The following is a 23,524-nucleotide window of genomic DNA, read 5'->3' as shown; positions in this document are numbered from 1 at the left end:
CTGACCTCAGGAGATCCCCCCTACCTCGACCTCCCAAAGTGCTGAGATTACAGGCGTGAGCCACCGTGTCCGGCCTGCATTCCTTAACTTGTAGGTGCATCACTGCACTCTCTGCCTGTCTTCACATGACCTTCTCCCCTGTGTGCCTGTGTCCAAATTTCCTCTTATAAAAACATTAGTCATAGGACTAGGGTTCACCACAAATTAGTAAAACCTCATTTTAACTTGATTACATATGTAAAGACCCTATCTCCAAAGAACTCACATTTATAATTTGTTGGGTGGGGGGGGGTCTAGGACTTCAACATATCTTTTCTGGGGGACACGATTTAAGCCATAGCATCTCCTTGTATCAACTGCCTTTTAAAAAAAGTTCTATATATACATTTTTTCTTTTTTTTTTTCTTCAGTTATTTTTACATTTACATCATCCTAGGTATTTTCATTTCCCATGCTGTTGGCACATACATTTGTCATCCTCTTTATAATTTGGGACGGGTGTGGTGGCTCATGCGTGTAATCCTAGCACTTTAGGAGGCCGAAGTGGGCAGATCACCTGAGGCCAGGAGTTCGAGACCAGCCTGGCCAATATGGTAAAACCCCATCTTTACTAAAAATACAAAAATTAGCTGAGCATGGTGGTGCAGGCCTGTCATCCCAGCTACTCGGGAGGCTGAGGCAGGAGAATCGCTCGAACCTGGGAGGCAGAGGTTGCAGTGAACCGAGATTGTGCCATTGCACTCCAGCCTGGCAACAGAACGAGACTCCAGCTCAAAAAACAATTAAACAAACAAAACCAAATTGCACATTTTGCAAATCATAAGGCCCTTAGTATACTTGACAATGAATTTAAAGCAGCCTGAAATACTCAAGCGCAGTATAGACAAGATAAGGAGTAAGAGGACTTCTGAGGGAATAGGCTTAGAACCTCTGTCAGCCAAGAAAGTATGTGTCCTACATATTCTTAGCTGGAAGTTATGGTGTGACTCCACCCTCCGCCCATACCTGGGCTTCCCACTCACAAGGCCAAGCAAGTTTTCAATAAATTCCCTGAAGGAGCTTGAAAGTAAATTCAATTTCTATTAGTGCAACATGTAAGTACATTATAAAATGTGGGAAACAGAGAAAAAAACTTTTTAATCTCTTTTCATCTCAGCACCTTAACACAACCATTATGAGGATTTAGAGACGGGGTGTAATGGCTAGTGCCTGAAATCCCAGAGCTTTGGGAGGCCGATGAGGCGTGATCACTTGAGGCCAGCAGTTTGAGACCAACCAGTCTGGGCAAAATAGCAAGACCCTGACTGCGGTTTTAAATGTATTGTTTAAGAAACATTTAATACAATGTTTCTTAACATTAAAAAAAAAATTTTCAGCCAGGCACAGTAGCTCATGCCTGTAATCCCAGCACTTTGGGAGGCCGAGGTGGGAGGATTTCTTGAGCCCAGGAGTTTGAGACCAGCCTGGGGGACATGGCGAAACCCCCGTCTCTATCAAAAACACAAAAATTAGCTGAGTGTGATGGTTCATGCCTGTGGTCCAGCTACTGGGGAGGCTAAGGTGGAAGAACTACCTAAACCTGGGAGGTTGAGGCTGCAGTGAGCCATGATTGTGCCACCACACTCTAGCCTGGGCGACAGAGTGAGACTCTGTCTCAAAACCAGACAGAAAAGAAAGGATTTCGGTATATACTTCTGGTCTTATCTTCAATGAGTGTTTCTAAAAATCATAATTGCATGCAGTTCATGTAAGATTCTGTATTCTGTTTCTCACTTACGTTATATCAAATGTTATTTGCTGGTCTTCATGTGCACCATTTTTCTTGCTTCCTAATAGTGTAATCAAGTAGACAGCTCACAGCTTACTTGGCCATTCACTCGTTTGTAGTACTCTGGGGTTTGTCTCTTTCTCTTCTCTCCTGGACATCCCCACCCTGCCCCCTTACTTCCTTTCTCTCTCCTTATTTATTTATTTATTTATTTATTTATTTATTTATTTATTTATTTTGAGACAGGGCCTTGCTCTGTCACCCAGGTTGGAGTGCATTGGCAAGATCATAGCTCATGGCAGCCTCAACCTCATGGGCTCAAGTTATCCTCATACCTCAGCCTCCCAAGTAGCTAGGATCACAGGTGCACGCAACGTCTGGCTAATTAAAAAAAAAAATTTTTTTTTTTTTTAAATATGAACTCTCCCTCTGTGGTCCAGGCTGGAGTGCAGTGGCATGATCTTGGCTCACTGCAACCTCCGCCTCCTGGGTTCAAGGGATTCTCATGCCTCAGCCTCCCGAGTAGCTGGGATTATAGGTGCCTGCCACCACGCCCAGCTAATTTTTGTATTTTTAGTAGAGACAGGGTTTTGCCATGTTGGACAGGCTGGTCTCAAACTCCTGACCTCAGGCAGTCCGCCCGCCTCGGCCTCCCAAAGAGCCGAGATTACAGGCATGAGCCACTGTCCCCGGCCAAAAAAAATTTTTTTTGTAGGGACAGGGTTCTTGCCGTGTTGCCCAGGCTGGTCTTGAACTCCTAGGCTCAAGCAGTCCTCCCCACTTAGCCTCCTAAAGTGCTGGGATTATACGCGTGAGCCACCACATCCCGCCCTTCCTCCTTTCTCTTTGTTACTTGCAGATTAATTTCAGTTTAATTCCTTTTGAAATCTAGATACAACTTAGTTGTATTTATGCTTCTGAGGGAGAGAAAAAAGTACTAAAAGTTGACCCCCTCAGGCTGGCTCTGTCTTGCTTTTCATTGCCTCTTCTACTTTTCTCTTTGGATAATTCAGTACATTCAGCACCCAAAGTCTCTCTTCTTCATTTTATTCTCTCATGTTATTAACTTTTCCCCGGCCTTCTGGATTATTGTAGATGATGGCTATTGAGCATGTTTGTGCTTTTGTTCTTTTTCTGCAAAGATTTCAGAAGAGAAGCAGGAAGAGGTATGTTTCAGAAGCTACCCCTGGAAATGAAGGGAGTTTGTCAGTACTGCCTGAGTATTTAAATTAGCTTAATTATTGACTTTTAGCAAAGAAATAAATCCAATTAGTTTAGAAGATTTAATTGAAGAGACTTAGTAAGTGCTGTATTTATCAGAACCGTTAATGTCTGGTGATAATAAAATGATTTTTAGGTAGTTACTGAAGAACTACTAGTTATGTAATTTATTCTTAGGGGAGAGTAGAAAGCAATGGTTGTCTAAGAGTAGCTCCTGTACAACCTCAGAACTAATTGATGAGGTTATTTAAAATACAGACCTTTCCTCAGACTTGGTATTTTCACTTTAAAAAGCTTCTCGGGTTACATAGAGACACTAATGGAGAGAATGAAAAGGCACTTAAGAAATGATACCTGACCTCAAGTGGCTCACAGTCTAGTTAAAGACAGTACCTCTGAATTAGCAGCAGATAATAGAAAATAGATTATAATTTTTGGGTGAAATTATGTGACATGGAAATATTTTTACAAAACAGTTAAGTGAAAAAATTTATAATGATTTATTAATAGTAACAAATAATGTAAAATGAATTACCAATCTGCACATTTATACTTTATGTGCTTTTCTGGTTTAGTGTTATGGTTTACAGTTTTTTTGTTTTTTTGTTTTTTTCTTTTTGGCGACGAAGTCTTGCTCTGTCACCCAGGCTAGAGTACAGTGGCGTGATCTCGGCTCACTGCAACCTCCACCTCCTGGTTCAAGCCATTCTCATGTCTCAGCCTCCCGAGTAGCTGGGACTACAGGCGTGCACCGCTACACCTGACTAATTTTTGTATTTTTAGTAGAGACAGGGTTTCACCATGTTGGCCAGGCTGGTCTCGAACTCTTAGCCTCAAGTGATCCAACCACCTCGGCCTCCCAAAGTTCTGGGATTGCAGGCGTGAGCCTCCACACCGGCCTGTTTTACAATTTAAATAAATTATGTAGGGAAAGGAAAAATAAAAAGTCCTGTTTATTATCCTCAGGAGGCAAAAGAATCCTAGGCCTCCTGGATAAATAGCCTTAGGCAAAAAGAATGAAAACAGTAATAATACATACACACACGAATACAATTGCCCCATAGCATTTGCCCCGTGGAATAGGGAAAAGATAGTCATGATTTACAAGAGCCAGCAGGAACAAGACAAGATACATGTGTTGAGAAGGGAACAGATAATTGGAAGATGCTTTGAGTCTGCAGAAGCTTTGAGTGTTACTACTAACATGCAGAATTATTACCCAGCTGTGTAGATAATCAGTGATTGCTGCCTTTAGTAAGAGGTATAATTTCACTGCAGCAGATAGATTGGAAGCTAAGGGAGGCTGCATCCTATCTATCTATCTATCTATCTATCTATCTATCTATCTATCTATCTGTCTATCTATATCTGTCTGTCTTTCTGTGATGGGGTATGGCTCTGTTGCCCAAGCTGGAGTGAATGGCTCCATCTCGGCTCACTACAACCTCTGCTTCCCAGGCTCAAACCATTCTCCCACTTCGGCCTCCCGAGTAGTTGGGACTATAGGCGTGAGCCACCATGCCCGGCTACTTTTTGTATATTTGGTAGAGATGGGGTTTCAGAGCCTGGGTGATAGAGCAAGAACCTGTCTCAAAAAATAATAATGAAATGAAATTAAAAAATAAAAACAGAGCAACTGCAGACCTTGCGAAGGCACTGGGAGATCAGGACATCTGATCCAACCTCCCCGGCCTTCTTTCTGAAACGCACTGAGCACCTTCCTCCTTCATCCTCCAGGTAGGTTCGTGGTTTCCACACCCAGGACCATCTTCAACATCCCTCCAGTTGTTCCAGCCGGAGGCCCAGGTCTCCCTCTCCGCCCCTCCCTCTTTTTCACCCCACAGCCAATCAGGGCGAAGTCATCTTGAATATCCCTGGGCTGTGTTCATTTCTTTCCACAGTCTAGGACATCACTTCCTCTGGCCTGAACCACTGCAGGTGCCTCCTTTTTGGCCTTCCCGCTTCCAAACCTGCCCCTTTTTCCATCTATTCTCGCTGCAGCCAGAGTACTTTTCTTTAATTCAAATGTTCCCAGGTCCCTTCTTAAAACTCTTCTCTCCATGGCTTCAAAGTGATCAATTTTTGTCTTTAATTTGTTTTTGATTATTTTTGTTTATTTATTTATTTATTTATTTGCGACAGGGTCTCACTCTGTTCCGAGGATGGAAGCAGTGGTACCATCATAGCTCACTGCAGCCTCGAACTCCTAGGCGCACGTGATCCTCCCCACCTACGCCTCCAGAGTAGCTGGGACTACAAGCATGTGCCACAACACCCAGCTAACCTTTTATTTCTTGTAGAGGTGGGATCTTGCTATGTTGCCTTAGCTGGTCTCAAACTCCTGGCTTCAAGCAATCCTACCATCTCAGTCTCCCAAAGTGCTGGGATCACAGGTGTGAGCCACCAGGCCCAAACCAGATTTTTATTTTTAAAAGACAGAGTCTCTTCTCTGTTTAAATGTTGTCAGAGTTCTCCAGTTGCCCTAGCATCAAATCCAATTGCCACAGCAAAAGGGAAAAAGTGAGTGACAGTTTGTTCTTATGCCCAGATAGGGTGGGGGAGGGGCCAGTGCCCAAGAGGACATGCCCCAAACCATCGAAATGGAGAAGGGGACAGATGAGAAGTGAGTAAGAGAGAGAAGAAAGGGAGAATGAGAAAGAGAGGTGGCCTAAGGAACATAGCTAGCAGCCCCACCACCCTGGTACACCTGTCAGGAGAGTTGAAAAATGAGAAAGACTTTAGAAATCATGAGATTTCAATCAGGCTAGATATCACATTAGCTTTTTTTGTTTGTTTGTTTTTGAGACGGAGTCTCGCTCTGTCGCCCATGCTGGAGTGCAGTGGCACGATCTCGGCTCACTGCAAACTCCGCCTCCCGGGTTCACGCCATTCTCCTGCCTCAGCCTCCCAAGTAGCTGGGACTGCAGGCGCCCGCCACCACGTCTGGCTAAGTTCTTTTGTATCTTTAGTAGATACGGGGTTTCATCATGTTAGCCAGGATGGTCTCGATTTCCTGACCTCGTGATCCGCCCACCTCGGCTTCCCAAAGTGCTGGGATTACAGGCGTGAGCCACCGCTCCTGGCCGATACCACATTAGTTTTTTAAACAGACTTGGACTCTGAGCTCAGTGGCTTGTGCCTGTAATCCTAGCTACTTGGGAGAGTAATGGAGGAGGACCAGTTGAGCCCAGGAGTTCGAGACCAGCCTGGGCAACATAGTGAAATCCCATCTCTAAAAAAGAAAAGAAAAATAAAACAGCCTTCTTATAGTCTGTTTTAGTCCAGCAATAACAGGCTATAGTTCAGTCATAATCGGTTAGAAAAATCAATGTTTTAAAAAAGCACCATTCAATTAGTAACAAAAATATATATATGTATAGGCTCGGTGTGGTGGCTCACAGCTGTAGTCCCACCTACTTAGGAGGCTGAGGCAAGAGGATGGCTTGAGTCCAGGAGTTTGAAGTTGCAGTGAGCTATGATGGTACCACTACACTACAGCCTGGGCAACAGAGCAAGAACCCATCTCTGAAAAAAATGAAAATTATCAATATGCTTACTAAGGCGTATGCAAAACCTAAATCAAGAATCCTGGTTGTGTCCTGAAGGACATAATGGAAGAAGGATTTCTGAATGAGAAGACATTCCTCTGCCCAATTATTCTATGAACACAATGCAAGTCCAATTAGAATGCCATGAAGACTTTTTTAGGAATGTAAAAAGCCCACAGACAACCACCCCTACCCGTTAAAATATTACAAAGCAAATATAAACACAGTATTAAATAGTTCCGCAGAGCAGAGAGCTAAAGATACAGACCTCAAAATGTGGGAATGATGTATATGATGGAGGTGGCATTTCAATTCAGTGAAGACAAAATGAACTGATTATTCCATAAGTGGGTTTTGTTTTTGTTTTTGTTTTTTTGAGACACGGTCTTGCTCTGTGGCCCGGGCTGGAGTGCAGTGGTGCAATGTCTGCTCACTGCAACCTCCATCTCCTGGGTTCAAGCAATTCTCCTACCTCAGCCTTCTGAGTAGCTGGAATTACAGGCACCCACCACCACGCGCGGCTAATTTATATATTTATAGTAGATATGGGGTTTCACCATGTTGGCCAGGCCGGTCTCAAACTCCTGACCTCAGATGATCCTCCCGTCTCAGCCTCCCAAAGTGCTGGGATTACAGGCGGGAGCCACTGCGCCTGGCCTCCATAAGTGGTTTTGAGACAATTGATTATACATTCAGAAAAAATAATTAATGTCAGTTTCCTACCTCATTATCTGCATCAAAACAAATTCCAAAATTTCACATTTAAATATAAATATCAAACATGTTAAAACATGCTTAAATAAATCATAGGTGAGTATTTTCATCATTTTAGGATTGGACTGGATTTTGAAAGCCTACTGTGAAGACTAAATCCCAAGGACACATTTGACTTCCTAGGAATATGAAAGTTTGGATCAGTAATGTAGAAAGTAAAAAGTTTCCTCTTCAAAGTTTCCCTTCTTGTTAAAAAATAAATCATAAATGATAAAAATAATAATTTCTTTTAAAGACTAACTTCCTTCAAGCCTCCTCACTTTATGCTAATAACTCTTTGTTAGGTCCACTCCTATGTAGCTGTTATGCTCACAGGCACGTAGTACATTCTATGTCCTTGTACCTTAACCAAGATATTTGTGCTGGACATGCTCACAGGCACCTTCCAGCTCGCAGCCTATGCCCCTTCCCTATTTGGCATAAGCAACTTCCTCTTTTCCTTTGTCTTTCCATTACTTTTACCTATTTAAAAAAGTTTCAAACTGTTAGTCAATCGGGTTTTAGTTTAGACTGTGCTGTCTGACTCCAGCCAATGGAGACAGGACACAGTAGCAGGGACAAACTACTTAAGGAATAAAAATTGCTTCCCTCCTTTGTTTGGATGTGCTGTCGCCATTGTTCCATCTGTGACGGGCACTCTTTCTGCAGAAAGTAAAAATGGCCTTAGTAAGAAAATTAAATTTATGTTCAAGTGCTATTTCTTTGTAGCACCAGGGAACAAACATTCTGTTTCCAAATAAACATTTTACATATAACAAGTAAAATAACACTATGAAAAAAGTCAAAAGACCATTCCTAAAATGAGGGGAATAGGGCAAGTAAGTGGGGCAGTTCCACCCTAAAAGTCCCTGGAATAAATTTTAAAATGGCATATTCTTCATTTCAAACACAGAAGCCGTTCCTGGGAAACCTTGCAAGCCACAGTGCTTGGGTGGAAACATGACAGGCCAAATTGCAACCAGAATTCTTTGATTATAAACAAAAGCATTTTTGTTTCAGAGAAGAAAAAAAAAAAGAGAGAAAGGAAACTAAAAAAGAGGAAATGAATCACTTTCTGAATATGAGACCTCAAGTGCACAAACAGGCTGGGGAGTGGAGATGAGTTAGCTCGGTCATCATCAGTAGGTAATTCTTTTAAAGCTGTCTTTTGGGGAAAAGGCAAAAACCACATACCCACATTTATCTGATTCAGTGACTTTCTGGCAGGAGAGGAGCATGGGATCTCCAACTTTCGTCGGGAGCCATGAGAGTTTCCCCCTCTCCTTTCAGGGTCCCAGGAACTCTGCCCTATTGGAGCTCTGGAGCTTTGGGCTAAAGGAGGCTTGGGTCCAGCACAGATTCCCTGGGCGGCTTTGGCTCCCAAGAGACACAGCAGCTCTACGTACCAGGCACTGTCAGTTTTGACATTGTTGCTGTCAGATATTAACTCTGATTCCTTAATGCAGGAAGTAACTAAAACTAGTTACTTAGTTTTAGCCAGAAATCTGGATTTACTCCTAATTCTGCCATTGGAAACCCAACATGTTCTTAGGCAAAGGATCGACTTCCCTGGGGCTTAGTTATCCCATCTGTTAAATGGTTGTCTTAACTCTGTGCTTACCTCCTCAGTTTGGGGGGGAAGATTAAATAGCGAGAGTAGATAAAAGTATGTTGTAAACTATGTCACACATGGTTTATTAGTATTATTAGGACCGCAGTTCAATCAATTAGGATGTGTTTATAAAGATGTGATTGCAACCGATAAAATGTGATAGTTCCAAAAACAAAAAGAAAAAAAGCTATTTTTTATTTATTTATTTATTTATTTATTTATTTATTGAGACAGAGTCTCGCTCTGTTGCCTAGGCTGGAGTTCAGTGGTGCGATCACGGCTCACTGCAACCTCCGCTGACTGGATTCAAGTGATTCTCGTGCCTCTGCCTCCCAAGTAGCTGGGACTACAGTCATGTGCCACCACACCTGGCTGATTTTTGCATTTTTAGTAGAGACTGGGTCTCGTAATGTTGGCCAGGCTGGTCTCGAGCTCCTCAGCTCAAGTGATCTGCCCGCCCCAGCCTCTCAAAGTGCCACAGGTGTGAGCCACTGTGCCCAGTGCTACATATATATATATATTTTTGTTGTTGTTTTTGTTGTTGTTTTCATGAGAAATGGATAACAGTAAGCTTCTCAGAAGGAGAATGGAGTGGTTGGTGGGCAGGAGTAGAAGGGACAACTATTTTCTATTGTACACTCTTCTGTAACTTTTGAATATTTTAAAGCATATGTTTGTGTTAATTGCTCAAAGAATATGCAAATAAAATTCAAATTTATGTGGTCCAAGTTATTTCCTTCTCAGTTATAAATAGAAATGTACGTACATGTTCACCAAAAGGCATGTCCAAGAATATTCATAGCAGCCCTAATTGTAGTGGCCCCAAGCTGGAACCCTGTCTAAACGCCCAACCACTATAAAATGCATAAATTGTAGTATTTTCCCACAGTGAAATACTGTATAGCAACTACAATAAGTGATCTGTAACTATGGGCAAGAATGTGAATGAATATGACAAACATGTGGAGTGAAAGAAGTCAGACACAGAAGAGTACATACTTTGTGGGTTCATTTATAAAAGGTTCAAAGGCAGGCAAAACTACTGTAAGACATTAGAAGTCATAATAGTGGTCCCCCTTACAAGGTTTTGTAACTTAAGGGGTCAAAGAAGGGCTTCTGGAGTGTTGATAACATTCCATCTCTTAACTGGGTCACTGCTGTTTGCATATGTGTCTTCAATTTGTGAAAATTTATGACACTGTTTTCTGTATGTTACACATCAACCGAAGGTTTAAATAAATAAATAAGAAAGATTGGATGGGGCAGGAACCATCTAATGGGACTCACAATAAAACAACAGAACAATAAAATAAATTTTGCTTTGAGCTTTTCCAGTGATCTCCAAATGGTATCCATTTCATTCCGTCTCTAAGGGGCAGTTTCAGAAATTCACAGAGGCTACCATTTGTTAGTGGCAGCAGAAATTAAAATACAGAGCAAAGGGTGATATTAAAATCAGAGTCAAGTGTATTAGTATCTTTTTCAGTACTATCAAGCAACACTACAATGAAATAAAGATATAATATATAATTGGAACCGTGTCAAGATCTTAAAATGAAGTCACAGAGTTAGCAATGTCGAAGTATTAGAGTTTGGAAAGTCAGTGTGAGAGTAAAAGACATTTTTATATTCCTCAGAACTGAAAAATGTCACTGTATAGCATAGGAAACTTAGCAATAAGTATCCAAAACAGAAGTCAAGTGAAATGTAAATGGATGAATTCTAATCTCAAAGGCCATTAGATGAAGACAATATCTCTAACCACTATCTCTTATGACCTCAAAATCCCCGAGCTCAGGAGATACATAGGCCACAGAGCTGGTAGGTTATGGAGCCAGGGTTTGAAGCCAGATCTTGAAAGTCCAATGTAAAGCACCGCGAACTTTTGTCAGTTACTGGACGACATGCAGCTTTCTTTCCTCAAACTTTTACATGTATTCACACCCTCCTGTCGAGGTTAGCACCTTTGCATCCTCCAGATCCCAGCTGAAATGCCCTGAGGCCTCTTCTGCCACCTAATCTGAAATCATTCTCCTTCTTGATCTCTATGTCTTGTTTTCTTTCTTCATAACCTAGCAGAGGTCAGAGTTGCTTCATTTACTGGGGAGTGGTCCTTGATCCTGTATTCACTTACCAGTCTCCCAGCTGGACTATAAGCTCCATGAGGTGACAGCCACATCTATTGTGTCTCCAGCTCTTACTCCTGCACTTGGCATGCTAGGGATGCTCAGCAGATGACTATTTTAAACGTCAGTCATGGCCAGGCGCGGTGGCTCACGCCTGTAATCCCAGCTACTCAGGAGGCTGAGGCATGAGAATCGCTTGAACTTGGGAGGCAGAGGGTGCAGTGAGCTGAGATCGCGCCACTGCACTCCAGCTTGGGTGACAGAGTGAGACTCGGTCTCAAATAAATAAATAAATAAATAAATAAATAAATAAATAAATGTCATAATGAGTGCCAGGAGAATGTGAGTCGGCAGATCTCACAGGAGACCCGGGAGAGTAGTAGTTGCTGTTTAACTCTGTTTGCTGTTTACCTTCTGTGCGAGCTCAAGCCCAGAAGCTCCCATCTCTGGACCATGATTTCCTCATGTGTTAAATAAAGGCTGATTACTTACTTTCTAAATTTCCTCCATTCTAATTCCCACTCACTAAATTAAACTAATTCACAACAATGTGTGAATGGCTGATGGCTTATTACCATTCCCAGAGGGAGGTGCATTTTTAAAAGATAATGTTCCACATTAATCTCTATTTTTAGGCTATCAGCTCGATGAGTGAAAACAGTGGAACTGACTGGAGAGAGATAATTTTCTGCTGAGAGCAAATGAACCTGAGATTCTGCCCCTGTGAGTCAGCTGCCCGATTAGTTCCTGCTTTTCTCAGCTTCTTCCCCTCTCCTTATTTCAACTCAGGCTTCAAAAGAATGGAAACTTTTTTTTTAAACTTTTTTTTTTCCACCTCACGCCCTCCCCAACTGCTACAGTACATATGGCCATGGGGCTTCTGCTGTGATCAACGTTAGAGAGTTGTAAGCTATGCTCAAGTGAGGCCACAGCTTTGTCTGAAGTTGTATGGTCCCAGTGGGTTTGGTTTCTAGAAACCCCAGGATTTCTTTCTGTTTCCAAGTGTGGGGCTCTAGGTGGTTGCCAGGCATTGTGGTTTTGCAGACGGGGCAGTATTTATCTCTCCCTGAGCCTTAGTTATTCATCTTGTCGTCTTTCCGGAACTCAGAGTGTCCTACCAGGAAAATGAGTGTCTAGGCAGAGAGGACAAAGGTTGGCTCAGAAGAACAAACAAAGAGAGGAAGCACTCAGTAGTAATCACAACATTAGGTAGAGCAGCAAATAGTAAAATTTGGCCTGTGTTTACAGAATGGCTCTGTACAGCCTTTTCTTCCGTTGTTTTGATCCAGCATCTCTAATCTGAATCCTCCAGAACTCTAGCCAAGGGCTGGGTAATCCACCCAGCCGATCCTAGCTCCTGATGAAAGTGAGAATATATTTTGCCTCTTCACACGGGCCCCACCCTTGTTTTTTCCTTTGACTATCATGTTCCTCCTGGCAGCTGGGCGTTGAGGTGGCCTCCTTTGATGCCTGGGTCATAACTCACCCTGAGGGATGTTGCTGTCTGGCCTTACTGGGCACCTGCATCCACACTCACCAGCACTGAAGTGACAATTGAGTGGCTTTGGTCATTGTTTCTTCAGCCAGGGCTTTCTTTCATCTTAGCCTCAAAATTCCCTGCCCTGAAGGTTTATTACCAGAAGAGTTTATTTAAATAAACAACTACTAGGCCAAACTTCACTGGATTCCACCTTGGGAAGATAACCCCCCCTTTTTTTTAGATGAGGTCGCACTCTGTCACCCAGGCTGGAGTGCAATGGTGTCATCTCAGCTCACTGCAACCTCCGCCTCCCAGGTTCAAGCAATTCTCCTGCCTCAGCCTCCTGAGTAGCTGGGATTACAGGAGCATGCCTGGCTAATTTTTGTATTATTAGTAGAGAAGGGGTTTCACTGTGTTGGCCAGGCTGGTCTCGAACCCCTGAGCTCAGGTAATCTACCTTCCTCGGCCTCCCAAAGTGCTGGGATTACAAGCGTGAGCCACCACACCCAGCCAGAGCCTCTTTATTTTACCCAAATTTCAAGGGATCCAGGCAATCTGCAGTGGAATCACCATTAATACGCTGAATGACAGAGATCTAAGAAAAGGGGGTAGTTCAAATATAGCAGATTCATCAGTGTTGTGTGACTTGGGAAAAACTTGCACACACCCCCACCCCAGAATGGTTTTTAGGAAAGGAAAATCCCACATACAGAATGCCTTTACTTTTCTTGTGAGATCTTGCCCTGTGCATTTTTGCCTCCAGAGCAAAATTAAACTCTAGTTCTGGCTTGGTCTAACTCACTGCTACCATCCTTGCCACTCAGTATGAGAAGGGGTGTAAGGACATCTGCATCTTCTAGGAGCTGAATTAAAATGCAGAATCTCAGGCCCTGATCCAGGCTGGCTGAGTCAGAATCTGCATTTTAACAAGATTTTCATGGGATTCATATTCACCTTAAAGTTCAAGAAGCCCCTCTAGCCTCCCTCACTGTTAATTCTCATTTTATTTTTTTATTTAAATTTTACTTTTGTTGAGACAGGATCTCACTCTCAGCCAGGCTGGCGTGCAGTGGTGGATAACAGCTCATTGCAACCTTGAACTTCTGGGCTCAAGGGGTCCTCCTGCCTCAGCCTCCCAAGTAGCTGGGACTACAAGTGTGCACCACAAGGCCCAACTAATCTTTAAAAATTTATTTGTAGAAATGGAATCTCACTATTTTGTCCAGGCTGGACTACAAGCGTGCACCACAAGGCCCAACTAATCTTTAAAAATTTATTTGTAGAAACGGGATCTCACTATGTTGTCCAGGCTGGTCTCAAACTCCTGGCCCCAAGTGATCCTCCCACCTCAGCCTCCCAAAGTACTGGAATTATAGGCATGGGCCACCGGGCCCAGTACCTCACCATTAACTTTTAAACTAGTGTCATGCAATCTAAGAGAATTGAGGTGGCATTGTTGTGTTCATAACATACTGAGGTCAGAGCATTTACAGAGCAATTGGAAACAAGAAAATGCAAGAGCAGTTTAAAAAAAAAAAAACCTTGGCAGGCATGGTGGCTCACACCTGTAATCCCAGCACTTTGGGAGGCAAAGGTGGGCAGATTGCTTGAGCCCAGGCATTCCAGACCAGCCTAGGCAACATGGTGAGACCTGGTGTCTACAAAAAAATACCAAAATTAGCCCAGCGTGGTGGAATGCACTTGAAATCTCAGCTACTCAGGAGGCAGGGATGGGAGGATTGCTTGAGACCAGGAGGTGGAGATTGCAGTGAGCCCAGAGCACGCCACTCCACTCCAGCCTGAGTGACAGAGCAAGACCCTGTCTCAAAAACAAAACAAAAGCAAAACAAAACAAAACCTCTGATAACTGTTGGGATAGTGTAAAACTTTTATTTTCTCATCCTTTTCTTATTGTATTGTTTGAGCTTATTTGTTAAAGGAAGATTTAGGTTTTGTCTTATTTTTATCTTTTTTTTTTTTTTTTGAGACAGAGTCTCACTCTGTCACTCAGGCTGGAGTGCAGTGGCACGATCTCGGCTCACTGCAACCTCCGCCTCCCGGGTTCATGCCATTCTTCTGCCTCAGCTGCCTGAGTAGCTGGGACTACAGGCACTCGCCACAAGTCCCGGCTAATTTTTTTGTATTTTTAGTAGAGACGGGGTTTCACCGTGTTAGCCAGGATGGTCTCGATCTCCTGACCTCATGATCTGCCCGCCTCAGTCTCCCAAAGTGCTGGGATTACAGGCGTGAGCCACCAAGCCCGGCTTTTATCATTTTTATTTAAGAAAGTGAGTGGAAAGCATGATTTGCTCTCAGTCCTAACAAAATCCACAGAGGTAGAAAGTTTTGATAAATGTTAAATGTTCTAAGTGCTATTGTAAAGTAAGTAAATTAACAAACAGGATGCTTAATATTACTCTGTGAATAGCACTGCTGATTAATTGGGCATTTGGGGGTGGGAGGGGTGCCCAGAGCTGGCCCATGTTAAGTATGGGCATCAGTGGAAGTAAGATACCTTTTGAGTGACCACCATTTTGTTTTGTTTTGTTTTGTTTTGTTTTGTTTTGTTTTGTTTTGTTTTGAACAAAGGGTCTAGCTCAGTGGCCCAGGCTGGAGTGCAGTGGCATCATCACGACTGACTGTAGCCTCAACCTCTCAGGCTCAAACCATCCTCCTGCCTCAGCCTCCCATGTAGCTAGGATGAACTACAGGCATGTGGCATCATACTCAGCTACTTTTTAAAATATTTTTTGTGGAGGTGGGGTCTTGCTCTGTTTCCCAGACTGGTCTTGAACTTCTGAGCTCAAGCGATCCTCCTGTCTTTGCCTCCCAAAGTGTTGGGATTACAGGTGTGAGCCCCCTGGTTCAAACAACCACTCTTGTATGGTCATGCAGTGCAGGCTTAAATGGTGTCCCTTTGACTAGATCTTGAACTGTTCTGATCTGACTCACTGTGTAGATCACTTTCATATTTGAAGAGTGTGTGGAGGTGGGGAATAAGGGCTTTGGAGTCTGCTGAGCCAAAGTGGAGTAAGGAGGAGCTGCCTTAATAACTGTAATTTAAAATTAGGCCCAACTTTCATAAACACTAACTACATATAATAACATATAGGTCCAAATTTCTTACACATTCTACTTAAACATACATAGAATACCAGATATGGTACACTCTCCTCACAGTATATTAATCCTAAAGATTTTATTCTCTTAAACATTTGTATACCTAATACACATTCTTCTGGTAGAAAAATATAATACAAAGGAAACTATCTTTTCAGACTATCTAAATCTGGGGTTTATCTTTCCATGTAATTTTTGGGATTGGTATGCTCGTTGGACTCTCATCAGGCATGGTGACAGAGCATCCTGAGCCTTATTTATAGTCTGTAACAGGGACTTCATAATTTGTGGGTCTATAGCCTATTGTGACCTCTCACTTCATGCTCTTCTACCTGTGGGGCTCTGCAATTCTTACCTGAATGATCTCTTGATTTTGCATTTCTTTTGTTCTTAAGACATGTAAATGGATTTTTCATCTCACCTGAATATGCTTTTTTTTTTTTTTTTTAAATTTTTGAGACAGAGTCTGGCTCTGTTGCCCAGGCTGGAGTGCAATCGCGCGATGTCGGCTCATTGCAACCTCCGCCTCCCAGCTTCAAGTGAGTCTCCTGCGTCACCCAAGTAGCTGGGATTACAGGTGTATGCCACCATGCCCAGCTAATTTTTGTATTTTTAGTAGAGATGAGGTTTTACCGTATTGGCCAGGCTAGTCTTGAAATCCTGACCTCAAGTGATCCACCCGCCTCCACATCCCAAGTGCTGAGATTATAGGCATGAGCCACCGTGCCCAGGCTTGAATATACTTTTCATAAACATCCAATCTCAGGACTATGTAACACTCAGTGATAAAAGGTGTCTAATTAGATTTAGGGATAGAGCTATGGCTTTCCATGGTAATTTGGTCACAATGTCCAAGATTGTTTTACTGATATTACTGATAGACACACACACACACACACACACACACACACACACACGGAGGCATGCACAGGGCAAATGAAAATAGTTATAAAAAGGAAATATGTCTGCTTTCTCAGAAGCCCAGAAATCATTTTAAACAAATCAATATATTTCTAACCAACATCATTGAAAACTACAAACAGAAAAACAACATCTGGGGAGCCAAGGAATGCTTGTGTAATGGAATGGTTTCTTAATTGGGCAAGATCTAGTAAAAAAGGGGAAGTCATCTATTTTTAGTTCCTTGGATATCCATCTATGTAAAAGAGGAAGGAAAAACTCCTGCCCCCCCAAAAGCATTAACTTTACCTTAGGACAAGTCAATAAAATTAAATATGTTCTTCCTATAATTTATCTTATTACAGTCTTTTTTTTCTACTGCAATGTCTTAACCTATATATATAATATGTTAACTATTAATTTGATGGATAAATAATAATTATACATATTTATGGGGTCCATAGTGATATTTTGATAAATATATTGTGATCTGACCGGAGTCAACTAGCAATGTCCATTATCTCAAACATTTATTATTTATTCTGTTGGGAACATTCAATATCCTCCTTTTGGCTATTTGAAACTATATATTATCGTTAGCTCTGGTAATGCTACAGTGGTATAGAATACCAGAATTCATTCCTTCTATCTAGTTGTAATTTTGTAACCTTTTTTTTTTTTTTTTTTTTTTTGAGACAGAGTTTCACTCTTGTTGCCCAGGCTGGAGTGCAATGGCCAGATGTGGGCTCACTGCAACCTCTGCCTCCCAGGTTCAAGCGATTCTTCTGCCTCAGCCTCCCTAGTAGCTGGAATTACAGGTGCCCACCACCAAGCGCCCCTAGTTTTTTGTATTTTTAGTAGAGACCGGGTTTCACCATGTTGGCCAGGCTGGTCTTGAACTCCTGACCTCAGGCAACCCACCTGCCTCGGCCTCCCAAAGTGCTGGGATTACAGGCGTGAGCCACCGTGCCCAGCCTGTTTTACTTTTTACTTCTATGAGATTAACTATTTTTAGCTTTGCCACAAGAGTAAGAACATGTTGTGTTTAACTTTCTGTTCCAGGTTTATTTCCCTTAACATAATGTCCTCCAGTTCCATCCATGTTGCTGCAAATGACAGGATTTCATTCTTTTTTATGGCTTAATAGTATTCCGAGGTGTATATGTACCACATTTTCTTTATCCATTCATCTCTTATTGGAATCAATGATTTCATATCTTGGCTCTTGGGAATACTGTTTGAATAAACGTGGAGGTGCAGACTATCTGAAAATAACTTTGGGACTAGAGCACAAAATTCTGACCAGTTAAGGGTAAAGAGTGACGGCTAGCATAAAAGACACCCCTTTTTTGAGGCTGTCTTTTGTGAGATTTCTATCAGTTCCATATCTTGAGAAAATTGTTTGTGGCTATGGTTTCTGATGTCACTTTCCAGTGCAGGGTAATCTCTCCTAGGTGCTATTTTCAGCTGAGGATTTGTTTTTAAGTCACAAGTTTCAGTTCAACATTGTTATTCACCAAATATGTCTCCTGTTTTTGCTTTTTATACCTACAGGCTCCTGGATAACTAGGATAATGTAAATGGATTAGACTGTAATTTCAGGGGCACACATTTCATACAGTGTCTTATTTAACTTTCACCGCCACCCTGTAAAGTAAGAATTGTTTCGATTTTACAAGATATGAAAACTGCCCTTGGCTAAATTGCTAGCAAAAGCAGGGCAGAGTTGAGATTCAAATAAACAAGGTTCAACCTGGAGGACCTTATGCTCAGTGAAATAAGACACACAGAAAGACACAAGCTGTGTGATCTCACTTCTGTGTGGAATCTTAAAAAATCAACTCACAGAAGCAGAGAGTAGAATGATGGTTGCCAGGGGCCAAGGGGGATGGTGAGAGAAATAGGGAGAAGACAGCCAAAGAGTACACACTTTCAGTTACAAGATGAACATGTTCTTGCCCGGGCGCGGTGGCTCACGCCTGTAATCCCAGCACTTTGGGAGGCCGAGGAGGGCAGATCACGAGGTCAGGAGATCGAGACCATCCTGGCTAACACGGTGAAACCCTGTCTCTACTAAAAAATACAAAAAAAAGTTAGCCGGGCGTGGTGGCGGGCGCCTGTATTCCCAGTTACGCGGGAGGCTGAGGCAGGAGAATGGCGTGAACCCGGTAGGCGGAGCTTGCAGTGAGCCGAGATTGCGCCACTGCACTCCAGCCTGGGCGACAGCAAGACTCTGTCTCAAAAAAAAATACATTCTGTACATCATAGTGACTATAGTTAAGGATACTGTGTTGATTACTTGAAATTTGCTGAGAGAGTAAGCTTAAGTGTTGTCACACACACACACATTCACATGCACAGAAAATGGTAACTTGGTGAGGTGATGGATGTATTAATTAATATGATTGTGGTAATCATGTGGTAATCATTGTGGTAAACAATGTATACATATATCAAATCATTATGTTGTAAACTATATATATATTTTATTTTATTTTTTATTTTTTTAAATTGAGACAAAGTCTCTCCCTGTCACCCAGGCTGGAGTGCAAATTCACCACAACCTCTCCCTCCTGGGTTCGAGCGATTCTTGTGCCTCAGCCTCCCGAGTAGCTGGGATTAAAGGCATGCGCCACCCCACCAGGCTAATTTTTTTTTTTTTCCACATAGAGTTTCGTTCTTGTCACCCAGGCTGGAGTGCAGTGGCGCAATCTCGGCTCACTGCAACCTCCGCCTCCCGGGTTCAAGTGATTCTCCTGCCTCAGCCTCCCAAGTAGCTGGGATTACAGGCGCCCACTACCACAGCCAGCTAATGTTTTGTATTTTTAGTACAGATAGGGTTTCATCATGTTGGGCAGGCTGGTCTCAAACTCCTGACCTCGGGTGATCTGCCCGCCTCGGCCACCCAAAGTGCTGAGATTACAGGTGTGAGCCACCACGCCCAGCCTAATTTTTGTATTTTTAGTAGAGACAGGGTTTCACCATGTTGGCCAAGCTGGTCTCGAACTCCTGATCTCAAGTGATCTTCCCACCTCAGTCTCCCGAAGTGTTGGGATTACAGGCATGAGCCACCACACCTGGCCATGAATATATATAATTTTTTTTTTGTCAATTTTACCTCAATAAAGCTGGGGGAGAAAAACCAAAACCCAACAAGATAAATATAAGAGGTTTTCATTCTAAAATTCAGGCTATTTCCTGACACCGACGTTCTTTGCACTGGTCTATACCAGTTCTCAAGTCTGTTTTCATGGATTTGTCTCAGGCAGCTCTTAAAGAGAGGTGATCTACCTCTAAACTTGAACATCAAGAGTAAAGTGTGCGACAGTGGTCGGTGCATTCTGGGTGCATGAGACATGTCAGCCTTCGATGATGAGTCACATCAGTAGTTTATGAATTCCACCAAGGAAGATGAAGTCCAGGCCATTTGAAAACAAACCAGCATGATGTAATTTCTCCTTTGATCGCTCAAATGACCAAATATGTGTAAAATCCCTTCGTAAACCCTGAGACAATTTTATGAAAGTAAACGGATTTATTGTAGTTGTATTTTGGTTTTAGTTGCTTGTTGTTTCTTCAGTCTTCAATTGGAGCTGTTCTGTAAAAGTGTCTTTCCAAATAGATATTGTAATAAAAATACTGTAATAATTTCTAATGGAATCATATCCATTTAGAGTTTTGTCCCAGAAGGATTTATCTCACCCGATAGCAGAGTTTTCTGAATAGCCTCTAAAGTGGGAAGCGTCTTGGTGGCTTCCTCCAACTTTATCTGGAAAGTTTTCAGGCTTTTTCACATTGTTTTCTAGGATTCTTGGTGGCAGATAGAGAACACAATTTGGAATAAAATCTGGACTTTCATTCTAACAGACAGAAGTTTCCATAATGCCTACTCCTTTCTAATGTTTGTATAAATATAAGGATATGACCCAGTTGTTTTTAGATCAACGTCAGATATAATCATTTCCTGCCCAGATGCACAGAAGAAGCTTGGAAATTTGTGCTTGTCTATTTTAAAAAAGAATCAAGAGTGAAAGCCAAAGATTTTTGTTTTTTGTTTTGTTTTTGTTTTTGTTTTGAGATGAGATCTCACTCTGTCAACCAGACTGGACTGCAATGGAGTGATCTAGGTTCACTGCAACCTCTGTCTCCTGAGTTTAAGCGATCCTCCCACCTCAGCCCCGTGAGTGGCTGGAACTACAGGCACATGCCACCACTTCTGGCTATTTGTTTGTATTTTTGGTAGAGACAGGGTTTTGCCATGTTGCCCAGGCTGGTCTCGAACTCCTGAGCTCAAGCAATTCGGCCACCTTGGCCTCCCAAAGTGCTGGGATTACAGGCATGAGCTGCCGCGCCTGGCCAAAAGCCAAAGGTTTGATTGTGAAGGCCCTGTGTCACTCAATATTAGGATAGATCTACTAGCTGGATATTAGTTGTCAGTTCAAGTGGCTTGAACTCTGTTTTAATACTAACAGTGGCATTGAACAAAATAGCAAGAAGTAGCATAATTAATTATTCAAATAAGGCAAATTATTAAGAATTTTAGAAATTCAAATATCCAGCTTTAAAAGCTAAAAGCCAGGCCAGGTGCAGTGGCTCACACCTGTAATTCCAGCACTTTGGGAGGCTGAGGCGGGCGGATCACCTGAGTTCAGGAATTTGAGACCAGTCTGGCCAACATGGTGAAACCCCGTCTCTACCAAAAATACAAAAATTAGCCAGGCATGGTGGCACCTGTAATTCCAGCTACTCTGGTGGCTGAGGCAGGACAATCACGTGAACCTGGGAGATGGAGGTTACAGTGAGCCAAGATTGCACCACTGCACTCCAGCCTGGGCAACAAGAACAAAACTCGTCTCAAAAACAAAACAAAACCAAAAAAAAAAAGAAAAGAAAGAAAAAAGGTAAAAGCCAGCTTTGTGCCAAAATCCTTTATGATTGGCTGATTTCCTTTACAAAATTCAACATGTTTTCACTGAGTGTATTTTTCAAACCCAGGGTTTGTAAATAGACATTTATGAGCCCAGATCTCTTTTTGAGATTCTCCTTTGTGAGATTTCTAGAACCTCCCCCTGCCCCCTATCAGTTCCATTATCTTGAGAAAATTGTTTGTGGCTGTAGTTTCTGATGTCACTCTCCAGTGCAGGGACATCTCGCCTAGATGCTATTTTCAGCTGAGGATTTGTTTTTAAGTCACAAGGTTCAGTTCTACATTGTTATTCAGCAAATATGTCTCCTGTTTACCATTTTAAGTGGTATACAATAAAAAGGAGTTCTCAAAATTTCAAGAAAAATAAACCTTTGCATCCTTTATACATTTCAGAACTTTATATAAAATGTATATAATTCATTAATCTTTGAAAAGAAACAAGAAAATAGTGAGAAGCTATACCTAAAAACACTTGTGTGTGGTTTTTTTGTTTGTTTGTTGTTTGTTTGAGACGGAGTCTCACTCTGTCGCCCAGGCTGATCTCCAACTCCTGGGCTCAAGAAATCCTCAGGCGTCTGCTTCCCAAAGTGCTAGGGTTGCAGGTGTGAGCCACAGTGCCCGGTCAGGTCAGTACTTAAGTTTTAAACAGGCATTGAATTCCAAGCTTAAAGTCATTTCAGCCAGGTGCAGTGATGTGTGGTTTTAGTCCCAGCCACTCCATAGGCTGAGGTGGGAGGACGCTTGAGCCCAGGAGTTCAGGGCTGCAGTGTGCAGTAATGGAGCCTGTGAATAACCACTGCACTCTAGCATGGGCAAAAGAAGGAGACTGTCTCAAAAAAAAAAAATCATTTCATAAAATACTGAAGGGAGTAAAGGGAAACAAGTCTACGGTGGAGAGTCTTGGAGTCTAGTCCCGACTCTAACTCAGTCCCGACTCTAACTCAGCATGTGATCTTAGGCAGCGGACGTGTCTGAACTACAGGGGATTTAACACTTAGTTGCATACATATTTGCCAGGACCTGAGTTTTGTTTATTCAAAGTATCAGACTCCTCATCTTCACAGTCAAAAATGTTTTGAAAATAAAACTCTCAGTCTTCAGGTTGCAGGTTACAATAAGAGCAATTTCATTTTCTTTTCTTTTTCTTTTTTTTTTTTTTTTAAGACAGGGTCTCACTCTGTAGCCCAGGCTGGAGTGCAGTGGCACAATCACAGCTCACTGCAACCTCAACCTCCTAGGCTCAAGTGATCCTCCCACTTCAGCCTCCTGAGTAGCTGGGACTACAGGCGAGTGCCACCACGCATGGCTAATTTTTGTAATTTTTTCGTAGAGACAGGGTGTCAATTTGTTCCCCAGACTGGCCTCGAACTCCTGGGCTCAAGCGATCCACCCACCTCGGCCTCCCATAGTGCTAGAATCACAGGCGTGAGCCATCATGCCCAGACCTAAGAGCAATTTTCAATACAGCAAAAGTCTTCATCAAAATTTACTGTGAGAAAAGGGCCCATGTAACTACTGTTTTTTTAAATATTTTTTGAACTATATTTACTTATTTGGGACAGAGTCTCACTCTGTCACCCAGGCTGGAGTGCGGTGATGCAATTATAGCTCACTTTAACCTCTAACTCCTTGGCTCAAGCAATCCTCTTGCCTCAGTCTCTCAGGTAGCTGGGACTACAGGTGTGCACCACCATGCCTGGCTATTTTTAAATTTTTTGTAGGGACAGACTAGCTGTATTACCAGGGCTGGTTTCAAACTCCTGGGCTAAAGCAATTCCTTTTCTTTTTTTTTTTTTTTTTTTTTTTTTTTTTTTTGGAAGAGGAGGATATAGATAGGAAGGGAAAGGAAGGGATTCCCTTTTCTTGACATGTATTCATTACTTCACCCCACTCTCATGTCATAAAATAGCTATGACTCAGTAATATTGAGATGTTTTTAACCAAGTTCAATAGTAGTGAAATTCCTTTTTATTTCCACATGCTCTCTTTACTTGAAAATGTGTGTTCTTTCTTTAACAACAATGTTGGTTTTAAAAAATGAAAACATGTAACAAAAAATGAAAGTAAGA

The 23,524-nt window shown here is 42.3% G+C and overlaps 3 annotated features.

Moving 5' to 3' along the window:
* Window positions 8,193-8,422: an enhancer, noted in NCBI's record as "active region_13421". NCBI's record gives its function as "activates an Ori minimal core promoter by ATAC-STARR-seq in GM12878 lymphoblastoid cells {active_cell/tissue: GM12878}" and the evidence as "EXISTENCE:reporter gene assay evidence [ECO:0000049][PMID:35858748]".
* Window positions 11,804-11,853: an enhancer, noted in NCBI's record as "active region_13420". NCBI's record gives its function as "activates an Ori minimal core promoter by ATAC-STARR-seq in GM12878 lymphoblastoid cells {active_cell/tissue: GM12878}" and the evidence as "EXISTENCE:reporter gene assay evidence [ECO:0000049][PMID:35858748]".
* Window positions 18,108-18,367: an enhancer, noted in NCBI's record as "active region_13419". NCBI's record gives its function as "activates an Ori minimal core promoter by ATAC-STARR-seq in GM12878 lymphoblastoid cells {active_cell/tissue: GM12878}" and the evidence as "EXISTENCE:reporter gene assay evidence [ECO:0000049][PMID:35858748]".

This window comes from Homo sapiens, chromosome 18, assembly GCF_000001405.40.
Source record: "Homo sapiens chromosome 18, GRCh38.p14 Primary Assembly".
NCBI classification, from domain to species: Eukaryota; Metazoa; Chordata; class Mammalia; order Primates; family Hominidae; genus Homo; species Homo sapiens.
This window is presented reverse-complemented; position numbering and strand designations above follow the sequence as displayed.